The 13,564-nt window shown below is 38.6% G+C and overlaps 1 long non-coding RNA gene across 1 annotated transcript in view, besides 1 other annotated feature; it reads right to left on the bottom strand.

Annotated features, from left to right (window-relative positions):
* Positions 1-13,564, bottom strand: part of LOC105378336 (uncharacterized) — an 88,286-nt gene that overhangs the window by 3,401 nt on the left and 71,321 nt on the right. The window lies entirely within an intron of this gene.
* Positions 11,973-12,142: an enhancer, noted in NCBI's record as "experimental_14377 CRE fragment used in MPRA reporter constructs". NCBI's record gives its function as "activates a minimal promoter by MPRAs in K562 erythroleukemia cells, with activity observed for the non-introgressed 10:66647539 variant allele {active_cell/tissue: K562}" and the evidence as "EXISTENCE:reporter gene assay evidence [ECO:0000049][PMID:34662402]".

The raw sequence follows: 13,564 nt of genomic DNA, 5'->3' as shown, positions 1-13,564 counted from the left end.
ATTAGTAAAAATGCATGCATATTTTCAGTCAGCCATGTTAAACCAGAGATCCTTTATAATATTCTTTTAGAGAAAGAAAAGCTCTATTACATATGAAAATATTTTGCTTCTGTGTTAGCTCTGTTGGCAATAAAGAGCATTAAAACATTTTTAGGAAATTATATTACAATGTAAATAAATCTTAAAAGGATACAAAACAACAAAACAAAAATACTGGTTGCTGCTGATAAAAATCTAGAAATGAAGCAAAAATAAATATTTAAAACTGAAATGATGGTAGTGAGTTGTAGCATAACTGAAGTTTACTTAGAGTCAATATTAAAGCACTGTTGATCTTAAAGCTCTACCTCATTTTCTTTCCTAATGATGAGAATAAATTAAGAGAGACAGCCAGTTATAAGGCCAAAACACTGAATAGAAATGAGGTGATGTGAGACTTAATCTTCCGCTTGTCAGTAATTAATAGTCTTTGTGATCCAGAAAAATATACTTAATATCTATTCATCTTAGGTTATCTATAGTACCAGAGAGTTAGATTGAAGGGTCCCTAGATTTCTTTATAATGTTCATTGTAACAAATCAAAAATAAGTTTTTCATATGAAAAATTATTTGAAATGTTGAAAAATAGATTACATTTATAGGTATCTACTTGATGTTTAAAAGACTACAGCATTTTAAGTCCTAGCTAGATCAGAAAGAGAAAGAAATAAAGGGCATCCAAATTGGAAAATAAGTCATCAAATTATTCTGTCTACAGATTATTTGATCTTTTAGTTTAAAAAACCTAAAGACTGCACACAAAAAATTAAAACTGATAAATTTAGTAAGCTTGCATGATACAAAATCAACATACAAAAATTAGTAGCATTTCCATGTGTCAAATAGCAAAAAATCTGAAAAAGGTACCAAGAAAGTAATTTCATTACAAAAGCTACAAATAAAATGAAATACCTAGGAATTAACTAAACAAGAGAAAGATTTTGACAATGAAAATTGTAATACATTAATGCAATAAGTTGAACAGAAAAAGCAGAAGAACATTGATGGGTTGGAAGAATAAATATTGCTAAAATGTTGACACTACCTAAAGCAATCCACAGAGTGAATGCAATCCCTATCAAAATACTAATGACACTCTTCACAGAAATAGAAAAAAAAAATTCTACAATTTATATGGAACCACAAAGGATGCAAAGTAGCCAAAGCTGTCTTGAGCAAAAAGAACAAAACTGGAATAATCATGTTACCAGACTTCAAATTATACTATGAAGCTATAGTAACCAAAACAGCATGGCACTGGCATAAAAACAGACACATAACCAATGGAACAGACTGCAGAACCCACAAAAATAGATTCATACATTTGCAGCAAACTAATTTTCAACAAAGGTGCCAAGAATATACATTGGGAAAAGAACAGTCTCTTCAATAAATGATGCTGGAAAAACTGGATGTCCATATGCAGAAGAATAAAAATAAACTCCTATCTCTCATTATATGCAAAAATCAAATAAAAGTAGATTAAAGACTTAAATCTAAGACTTCAAACTATGAAACTACAAAAATAAAAAATAAAAAATAAATAAAACATTGAGGAAACTCTCCAAGACATTGAACTAGGCAAAGATTTATTGAGTAATGCCCCACAAACACAGGCACCCAAAGCAAACATGGACAAATAGGATCACATCAAGTTAAAAGCTTCTGCACCACAATAAGAAACAATTCATGAAGTGAAGAGACACCTACAGAATAAAAGAAAATATTTTCAAACTGCCCATATGACAAGGAATTAATAACCAGAATATATAGGAAGCTCAAACAACTTAATAGGAAAAAAATCTAATCATCTGATTTTAAAACGGGCAAAAGATCTGAATAGGTATTTCTTAAAAGAACATATATAAATGGCAAGCAGGCATATGAAAAGGTACTCAACATCATTGATCATCAGAGAAATGCAAATCAAGACTACAATGAGATATCGTCTCACCCAAGTTAAAATGGCTTTTATCCAAAAGAAAGTCAAAAATAAATACTGGCAAGCATATGGAGAAAAGGGAAGTCTTTTACACTGTTGGTAGGAATCAAATTAGTACACCCACTATGGAGAACAGTTTGGCAATTCCTCATAAAACAAAACAGAAAGCTACTATATGATCTAGCAATGCTACTGCTAGGTATGTACCCAAAAGAAAAAAAATCAGTATTTTGAAGAGATATCTCCACTCCCATGTTTATTGCAGCACTATCCACAATAGTCGAAATTTGAAAGCAACCTACATGTCCATCAACAGACGAATAGATAAAGAAAATATAGTACTTAAATACAATGGAGTCCTATTCAGTCATAGAAAACAATGAGATCCAGAGTGGGAGGAGGATGGTGGAGAGGAGGCAGGGCTAACATTCAGCTCCCACCTGGGCAAACATAACAGCCTGTGGAGACTCATACTGTAGACTTTTGCTCCAAGAACCACCATAGGAACATACCAGAAAAACCAAAAGAATTCATAGACTCTTTGAAAGAAGTGGCACACTGCTGCAAATTCCATGAGATAGACAAAAAACTGTGAGTTCCCAAAGTGTGAGAGGGGGAAAACCTGCCTCTGAACACACGTCTCCGCTAGGAAACCTGAAAATTCAGATTGTTGGAGAAGGATTTAACCTTATCTAGAGCTGAAATGGATTTAGTGTGAAATATAAAAGTATAAGTGGCAGCACGAAGAGCCTTGTAGACACTCCCATTCTCCAGCTTGAGCCCAGGAAAGCCATCCGTGACTCTATCTCACAGGGGCCCTCAGCAAAGGCAGCCGGTGAAATTTGGGAGAGGTCACAGTGTGAAAGAATCTTCCAGCTGAACTTTGCAATAATTTTGACTGGGCACAAAGTCTCTTGAACAGAATTTGGAGGGCAAAGGAGAACTACTGCAGAAAGGAGCACAGGAGCCATGGTCTACATTGTGGGCGGATAGAGAGGAGGTGTGGCTTGAAAGTTGTTCTTGCTTTCTCAGCAGGGAAGCTTATATCCTGAGGAAAGGTCTGGATTCTATGCACAGCTGCTTGGAGATAAACTCTGGTCTTAACAGCCTTGGTGGGAGCAAGACCAGCCTTTCCAACATTGCAGGAGCTGGGTGAGGCCTATCTCTACCAGGTTTTCCCCACTCCCCTGGTGACAGAGGCAGCCATAATCCCCTCTGGAACATAACTCTATTAGCCAGAGAACCACCTCCTTCTCTCTCACAGTGGCTGCTGCAAGCCCCGTCCAAGGAAAGTCTGAGCTCAGACCCACCTAACCCTGCCCTGACCTGATGATATTTTCTACCCACACTGGTAGTCAATTACAATAGAGATAAACTCTTCGGAGCTTTGTGGTTCCACTCATTGCCTGAGAAACCTGAATACCTATCCTGGCCAAATTAAGGCAAGCTTATATCCCTCTTCTACTACCACAGCTGGTGCTCTTAAAAGTTGCACCTCCTGGCTGAAGGCCAACCAACTCAGGACATTACAGCAACTCATGACAGAATAACCCTGCTCCAAGGAAAGAGAAAACAACAGCTAATTCCACTGCCTGCGTCATCCTGGCTAATCGGAGGCCCTGAGTTTGTTCAGATCACTGCCAGCATAATCAGCATTCAAGAAAGCCAGCATACTAAACATATCTATAACCAAGGAATCTCACAGAGTCTACTTCACTCCCCTGCCACCTCCACAAGAGCAGGTCTTGGTATCCATGCCTGGGAGACCTGAAGATGGATCACATCACAGGACTCTTGGCAGACATTCTGCAGCACCTGCCCAGCCTGGTAGCCCTGCTGAGTGGCTAGACCCAGAAGAGCATTAACACTCAATGCACTCCAGTTCCCAGGAATCCCCATCCCTTAGGAAGGGTGAGTGCACATATCAGGGGATCACTCCATGGGATGAAAGAATCTGAACAGCAGCCCTGGAGTTCCAGATTTTTCCGCTAAAATAGTCTACCCAAATGAGAAGGAATCAGAAAAGTAATTCTGGTAATATAACAAAACAAGGTTCTGTGATACCCCCAAAAGACCACACTAGCTCTCAAGCAATGGATTCAAATCAAGAAGAAATCTATGAATTTCCAAATAAAGAATGCAAAAGTTTGACCTATTCAAGGAGATATTAGAAAAAGGTGAAAATCAACTTAAAGCAATTAAAAAGAAAAATACAGCATATAGATTAAAAATTCCCCAGAGAAATAGGTATTATAAAGAAAAAAAAATCACAACTTCTGGAAATAAAAGAAACACAGAAATACAAAATGCACTAGAAAGTGTCAACAATAGAACAAGTAGAAAAAAGAACTTCAGAGCTCAAAGACAGGCTTATTAATTAACTCCATCAGACAAGGACAAAGAAAAAACAATAATAAAAAAAGAACAAAGCCTCCAAGAAGTTTGGGGTTGTGTTAAATGATCAAACCTAAGAATAATTGGTGTTCCTGAGGAAGATGAGAAATCTAAAAGTTTGGAAAATTTGTTTGATGGAATAATTGAAGAAAACTTCCTTGGCCTTGCTAGAGATCTAGACATCCAAATACAAGAAGCCAAAAGAGCACCTGGGAAATTCATTGCAAACATATCATCATCTATGCATACAGTCATCAGTTTATCTAAAGTCAAAACAAACAAAAGAATTTTAAGAACTGTGAGGCAAAAGCATCAGATGACCTATAAAGGAAAATCTATCAGATTAACAGCAGATTTCTTAGCAGAAACCCTATAAAAAAGAAGAGATTAATGTTCTCTTATTAGCCTCCTCAAACAAAATAATTGTCATCCAAGAAATTTATATCAAGCAAAACTAAACTTTATAAATAAAAGGAAGATACAGTCTTTTTCAGAGAAACAAATGCTGAGAGAATTTGCCACTACCAAGCCAGCATTACAAGGAATGCTAAAAGTAATTCTAAACCTTAAAATAAAATCTTGAAACACATAAAAATAAAACATCCTTTAAGCATAAAACTCATGGGGCCTATAAAACAATAACACAATGGAAAAAAAAGATATTCAGAATGAATAAAATACTATCTCACATCTCAATGCTAACTCCTAATGTAAATGGCCTAAATGTTCCATTTAAAAGATACAGAATAGCAGAAGGAATAAAAATTTACCAACCAAGTATCTGATCTCTTCAACAGACTCACCTAATACATAAGGACTCACATAAACTTAAGATAAAGGGGTGGAAAAAATTATTCCATGGAAATGAAAACCAAAAGCAAGCAGAAATAGCTATTCTTATATCAGACAAAACAGATTTAAAGAAACAGTAGTTAAAAAAGACAAAGAGATACATTATATAATGATCAAAGTATCAGTCCAACAGGAAAATATTGCAATCCTAAATATATATGCATCTCACATTGGAGCTCCCAAATTTATAAAACAATTACTACTAAACCTAAGAAACGAGATAGATGGCAACACAGTAATAGTGGGGGACTTCAATAATCCACTGACAGCACTAGATAGGTCATCAAGATGGAGAGTCAACAAAGAAACAATGAGCATAAACTATACCCTAGAACAAATGGACTTAACAGATATTTACAGAACATTCTACCCAACAACTGCGGAATATACATTCTTTTCATCAGCACATGGAACATTCTCCAAGACAGACCATATGATAGGCCACAAAACAAGTCTCGATAAATTTAAGAAAACTAAAATTATATTAAGTACCCTCTCAGATCACAGTGCAATATAACTGGAAATTAACTACAGAAAGAACCTTCAAAATTAAACAAATACATGGAAATTAAATAATCTGCTCCTGAATGATCCTTGGGTGAACAATAAAATCATAATGAAAAATTTTAAAAAATCTTTGAACTAGATGATAATAGTGATGCAACTTATCAAAATCTCTGGGACACAACAAAGCAGAGCTAACATGAAAGTTCATAGCATTAAATGCCTACATCAAAAAGTCTGAAAGAGCACAAATAGACAATCTAAGAGCACACTTCGAGGAACTAGAGAAACAAGAACAAACCAAACCCAAACCCAGCAGAAGAAAATAAATAACAAAGATTAGAGTAGAACTAATTGAAATTGAAATAAACAAACAAGCAAAAAAAGATAAATGAAACTTAAAGCTGATTCCTTGAGTAGATAAACAAAATCGATCAACCATTATTGAGATTAACCAAGAAAACAAATAAGCTCATTTAGAAACAAAACAGGAGATATTACAACCAATACTACAGAAATACAGAAGATCATTCAAGGCTACTGTGAACACCTTTATGCACACAGACTTGAAAATCTAGAGGAGATGGTTAAATTCCTGGAAATATACAACCCTCCTAGATTAAATCAGGAAGCAGTAGAAACTCTGAACAGACCAATAACAAGTAGTGAGATTGAAATAGTAAAAAAAAAAAAAAAAAAATACCAAGCAGAAAAATTCCAGGATCAGATAGATTCACAGCTGAATTCTATCAGGCATTCAAAGATTTCATACCAATCTTACTGAAAGTATTCCAAAACATAGAGAAAAAGAGAATCCTCCCTAAATCATTCTATGAAGCCAGTATCACCCTAATAGAAAAACCAGGACATGTCATAACAAAAGGAAACTACTGTATTAGTCAGGGTTCTCCAGAGAAACAGAACCAATAGGATACATGTATGTATTCAGGAAAGTTTATTAAGGAGAATTGACTCACACGATCACAAGGTGAAGTCCCGTGATAGGCTGTCTGCAAGATGAGGACATTTGAAGCCAGTAGTGGCTCAGTCCAAGTCTAAAAGCCTAAAAAGTAGGGAAGACATTAACGCAGGCTTCAGTCTGTGGCCAAAGGCCTGAGAGCCCCCAGCAAACCACTGGTGTCAGTGCAAGAGTCCAAAGGCAAAGAATCCAAAGTCTGATGTCCAAGGAAGCATCCAGGGTGACAGATTAAAGCCAGAAGACTCAGCAAGCCAGCTTATCCCACCTTCTTCCACCTGCTTTGTTCTAGCCATGCTGGCAGCCAATTGGATGGTGCCTGCTCACACTGAGATTGAGTCTTCCTCCCGGCAGTTCACTGACAAATATTAACCTCTTTTGGCAACACCCTCACAGACATACCCAGAAACAATACTTTACCAGCTATCTAGGTATCCTTTAATCCAATCAAGTTGACACCTAATATTAACAATCACGAGTCCACCCCTTATCAACTTGAACCCATATATATATGCATATATGGGTTCAAATATATACATATATATTCAAATATAATAAAGATATTTTCTCAGTACAAGTATATACATACACAAACATATTCTTAACAAAATAGGAAGGAAATACTCATGACAATCACAGTCTTCAGTTCTGCAACTAGTCACATGGTCACAGCTGGTATTGAAAACTACCTTCTTCGACTACCCATTCTGTATTCTCTTTGCTTTCAGCAAGCACCTCAGCTGGTTGTGGTTTTTTACCTGGCAGAGTGACAAAAACCTTCATTCCTGAGGGGTCTGGGTCATCCACAGTCCTGCCTGGATTAGGTTGTTGTACTTTCCCATTGACCTTAATCACAGGGCATGGTAATACTGAGAGATACCCTAAGGGATCTGCTATATTCCACGCACACTCTTCCGTGCCTCCATTGTGGAGTAGTAGGCTAATTTCATCTTTATACTCTGGGTCAATGACCCCAGCCAACACTGTAACTCCCTCCTTAACCTGTTGACCTAGAGGTAGGAGAAGCCCAAAGTGACCAGGTGGCAATTTTAACTTCCAGTTTAATGGAATCATTGTTGTGTCTCCTCATGGCAGCATTCCTCCCTCTGTAATTAAGACCTCTAAGTCAGCAGAACCTAATGTAGTGGGAACAGGAAGCAAATATTTTGCTAGTGGATCACTAGGGGTGATGGTGAGTGGTGCCACTTCCAATTCCACCCCTTGATTTCTGGACCTGTGGATCCTGGCTATGGGAGAAACAGTAACATATATTGGATGCTGACTGAGAGCATACACACTTTCTGGAGAACTTTGCTCCAGCCCTGAAAAGTATTGTCACCTAGTTGGTATTGTAATTGCGACTTCAAAAAGCCATTCCACAATTCCATCAATCCAGCTGCTAGGGGATGATGGGGAACATGGCAAGACCAGTGAATTTCATGAGCCCACTGCTGCACTTCTCTAGCTATAAAGTGATTGCCTGGGTCAGAGGTAATGATGTGTGGAATATAATGATGGCAAATAGGACATTCTGTGAGTCCACAAAAGGTAGTCTTGGCAGAAGCATTGCATGAAGGATAGGAAAACCCATATCTAGAAGTAAGTGTCTATTTCAGTGAGGACAAACCGCTGCCCTTTACATGATGGATGAGGTCCAATATAATCAACCTGCCACCAAGTGGTGGCTGATCACCCCAAGGAATGGTGCCATATCCAGGACTCAGTGTTGGTCTCTGCTACTAGCAAATTGGGCGCTCAGCAGTGGCCATAACCAGGTCAGCCTTGGTGAATGGAAGTCTATGTTGCTGATGCCATGTGGAACCTCCATCCCTGCCACTATGGCCACTTTGGTCATGAGCCCACTGGGCAATGAGAGGGGTGGCTGGGGAAAGAGACTGAGTGGTGTCCATATCACGAGTCATGTTATCCATTTGATTATAAAAATCCCCCTCTGCTGAGGTCATCCTTTGGTGAACATTCACATGGGACACAAATACTTCACAGTTTTTGACCACTCAGAAAAGTCTGTCCATATACCTCTTCCCCAGGTGTATTTGTCATCAGTTTTCCAGTCATACTTCTTCCAAGTCCCTGGCCATCCAGCCAAACCATTGGTTACAGCCCGTAAGTCTGCATATAATCACACATCTGGCCATTTCTCCTTCTAAGCAAAGTACACAACCAGGTACACTGCTCAAATTTCTGCCCACTGGGAAGATTTCCCTTAACCCCGGATATCCTAAAAAGAGGCTGTAGTGCTATAGCTGTCCACTTTCAGGTGGTGCCTGCATACCATGCAGAACCATCTGTAAACCAGGCCTTAGTCTTCTCTTCCTCTGTCAGTTGATCATAGGAAACTCCCCATGAGGTGATTAGTGCAGGCTGAGAGAGAAAAGGCAGGGTAGCAGCAGTGAGGACCATGGGCTTTTGAGCCACTTCCTCATGTAATTTACTTGTGCCTTCAGGACCTGCTTGAGCCCAATCACATATATAGTACTTCCACTTGAAGAAATGCTGCTGTGCACCCAACATTGTGGCTAGATGGATCAGAAAGCACCCAGTTTATGATACGCAGTTTAGGTCATATGGTAACTTGGTGACCTATAGTTAAGCATTCAGTTTCTACTAAAGCCCAGTAACAGGCCAAGAGCTGTCTCTCAAAAGGAGAGCAGTTTATCTGCGGAAGATGGTAGGGCCTTGTTTCAAAATCCTAGAGTCCAGCCTGTCTCAGTGGTTCAACCCTGTAATCCCAGCACTTTGGGATGCTGAGGCAGGTGGATCACTTGAGGTCAGGAGTTTGAGACCAGCCTGGCCAACATGGTAAAACCCCATCTCTACTAAAAATATAAAAATTAGCTGGGCATGGTGGCACGCACTTATAATCCCAACTACTTGGGAGGCTGAGGCAGGAGAATTGCTTGAACCCAGGAGGTGGAGGTTGCAGTGAGCCGAGATCATACCACTGCACTCCAGCCTGGGCAACAGAGTGGACTCCGTGTGGAAAGAAAAAAAAAATCCTAGAGGCCTCTACTGTGATTCACCTATTGTGGCCTGCCAAAAGCTCCAAATGGCATCCTTATCTGCCACAGACACCTCAAGCACCATTGGATCTGCTGGGTCATACGGGCCAAGTGGCAGAGCAGCTTGCACAGTAGCCTGGACCTATTGCAGAGCCTTCTACTGTTCTGGACCCCATTCAATAAATGGGTTGAACTAACACACTCAAATGAGAAATGTGTGGCCTCCAAAATCCAAATAGGCCCACGAGGCATTGTGCCTCTTTCTTGGTTATAGGACAGGCCAATGCAACAACTTATCCTTCACCTTAGAAAAAATATCTCAACAGGCTCTACACCACTGGACCTCTAGAAATTTCATAAAGGTAGAAGGTCTCTGAGTTTTTGTCATATTTTTTCCACCCCCTGGCATGCAAGTATCTCACCAATAAGTCTAATGTGGTTGCTACTTTTTGCTCACTGGATCCAATCAGCATAAGGTCATCAATGTAATGGACCAGTGTGATATCTTGTGGAAGGAAAAACTGATGAAGAGTTCTGTGAAAAAGATTATGACACGAAGCAAGAGAGTTGATATATTCCTGAGGTAGGACAGTAAAGGTATATTGCTGGCCTTGCCAGCTGAAGGAAAATTGCTTCTGATGGGCCTTTTGGACAGGAATGGAGAAAAAGGCATTTGTCAAATCAATGGCTGCATACCAGGTACCAGGAGATGTGTTAATTTGCTCAAGCAGTGAAACAACCTCTGCTACAGCAGCTGCAATTGGAGTCACCACTTGGTTAAGCTTATGATACTCCACTGTCATTCTCCAAGATCCATCTGTCTTCTGCACAGACTAAATAGGAGAGTTGAATGGGAATGTGGTGAGAATCACCACCTTTGCATCTTTCAAGTCCTTGATGGTGGCACTAATTTCTGCAATCCCTGCAGGGATATATTGTTTTTGATTTACTATTTTTCTAGGAGAGGAAGCTCTAATGGCTTCCATTTGGCCTTTCCCACCATAATAACCCTCACCCTACCCATCAGAAAGCCAATGTGAAGATTCTGCCAACTGCTAAGTATGTCTATTTCAGTTTTGCATACTGGCACAGGGAAAATGACCACAGGATGAGTCCGGGCATCCATCGGATTCATTGTAAGTTAGACCTGAGCTAAAAATCCATTAATTACCTCCATAAGCTCCTACTCTAACTGGAGGACCACAATGATGTTTTGGGTCCCCTGGAATCAATGTCAACTCAGAGCCAGTGTCCAGTAGTACCTAAAAGTTCTGATCATTCTCCTTTCCCCAATACACAGTTACCCTGGTAAAAGTCCAGAAGTCTTTTTGGGGAAGGATGGGAGAAAGAGTAACAGTATACATTCTCAGAAGTGTAGTGAAGTCCTTCCCCAAAGAGACCTGGGTCTGTAAATTGGTTCAAATCTGGAAATTGATTGAGGAGTCATGATTCTCTATTTTTATAATTTGAATTAGTTTTTTGTCCACTTGACCTGGAAGTTTTCTGCTTATACAAATTAAGTAAGAATGTAGTAGGCTTCCTGTCGATTTCACTTTTAGGAACATCATGATTAATTAGCCAGTTCCAGAGCCCTACAGTAGTCAGACTATTCTGATTGCTGTCTTGCCTCTGCAGTCCTTTATTGTAATTACACCCACCTTGCCTTTGACAGTTGAGTGCTGCCACTTGGACCCTGCCACTTCAGGATCGAATATTCCCATTGCATTTAACTTTTCCAGTTGAGTGAATGAGGTTCCCACTGTAAAATTTGGTGTACAGAGAAGAACAATCACAGAGCTCCTCAGGGATTCAGGTGCTCCCCTCACAAATCTATTTTGCCAGATATTGATGAAGAATATGTCCTCTGGACCCTCTTGATTGGGATCAGTAGGTCTAAAGTGACTAATCCACTCTAGCATTCCAATCTCCCTAAGCCTTTGGATCCCTTCCTCTACATTAAACCAAGGGAGATCAGGCATTCCAGCTCGCTCATAGTGGGCCCTCTTTTGATCCATGTTTCAGCTAACCAAGCAAATAAACTATTAGAACCTTTTTAACTACTGAGCTGCAACATTAAATGCAGAATCTCATTAAATTTCCGGATACAAAAATCAATGTACACAAATCGTAGCACTGCTATACAACAACAAAGACCAAGATGAGAATCAAAGAATGATTGATGAGAATTAAAGAATCAAGAAATCAACCCCTTTTACAACAGCTCCAAAAAAAAAACACCAAATAAATAAAAGTTAGAAATATACCTAATAAAGGAGGTGAAAGGTCTCCACAAGGAAAACTACAAAACACTGCTGAAGGAAATCATTGATGACACAAACAAATGGAAACTTATCCCATGCTCGTGGATGGGTAGAATCAATATTGCAAAAATGACTATGCTTCCAAAAGCATTCTACAAATTCTATTCAATTCCCGTCATAATACCATGATCATTCTTCACAGAACTGGAATAAACAAACCTAAAATTTCTATGGAACCAAAAAAGAGTCTGCATAGTCAAAGCAAGACTAAGCAAAAGGAACAAACCTGCAGGCATTACATTACCTGACTTCAAACTATACTACAAGGCTATAGTTAAAAAAAACAGCATGGTACTGGTATAAAAATACGCAAGTAGACCAAAGGAACAGAATAGGAAAGCCAGAAATAAAGTCAAGTACTTACAATCAACTGATCTTTGACAAAGCCAACAGAAACATGAAGTGGGAAAAGGACAGCCTATTTAACCAGTGGTGCTGGGAATATTGACAAGGCACATATAAAAGAATGAGGCTGGATTCTTATCTCTCACTTTCTACAAAAATCAACTCAAAATGGATCAAAGACTTAAATCTAAGACCTGAAACCTTAAAAATTCTAGAAGATAACATCGAAAAATCTTTTCTAGACATTAGCTTAGGCAAAGATGTCATGACCAAGAACCAAAAAGCAAATGCAACAAAAAGAAAGATAAATAGATGGGACCAAATTAAACTGAAAAGCTTCTGCACAGCAAAAGAAATAATCACCAGAATAAACAGACAACACATACAGTGGGAGAAAATGTTTGCTAACTATGCATCTGGCAAAGGACTAATATCCAAAATCTATAAGGAACTCAAACAAATTAGCAAGAAAAGACCAAACAATCCCATAGAAAAATGAGCAAAGGACATAAAGAGACAATTCTCAAAAAAAGATATACAAATGGCCAACAAACATCAAAAAATGCTCAACATCACTAATTATCAGGGAAATGAAAATAAAAACCACAATGAGATACCATCTTACTCCTGCAAGAACGGTTGTAATTGAAAAATCAAAAATAGCAGATGTTGGCATGGATGTGGTAAAAAGGGAACACTTTTACACTACTGGTGGGAATGTAAACTAGTATAATCATTCTGGAAAACAATATGAAGATTCCTTAAAAACTAAAAGTAGAACTACCATTTGATCCAGCAATTCCACAATACTACCACTGAGTATTTACCCAGAGGAAAAGAAATCATTATATGAAAAGACACTTGCACATTCACGTTTATAGCAGCACAAATCACAATAGCAAAAGTATGGAACCAACCTAAATGCCCATCAACCAATAAGTGGGTAATGTGATAGATAGATAGATAGATAGATAGATAGATAGATAGATAGATAGATGTGTGTATGTGTGTATACCATGGAATACTACTTAGCCATAAAAAGGAACAAAATAATGGCATTCATGGCAACCTAGATGGAGTTGGAGACCATTATTCTAAGTGAAGTAACTCAGGAATGGAAAACCAAGTATTGTATGTTCTCATCTATAAGTGGGAGTTAAGCTATGCAGA

The sequence above is a fragment of the Homo sapiens genome, chromosome 10 (genome assembly GCF_000001405.40).
Source record: "Homo sapiens chromosome 10, GRCh38.p14 Primary Assembly".
In the NCBI taxonomy this organism is placed as follows: domain Eukaryota; kingdom Metazoa; phylum Chordata; class Mammalia; order Primates; family Hominidae; genus Homo; species Homo sapiens.
This window is presented reverse-complemented; position numbering and strand designations above follow the sequence as displayed.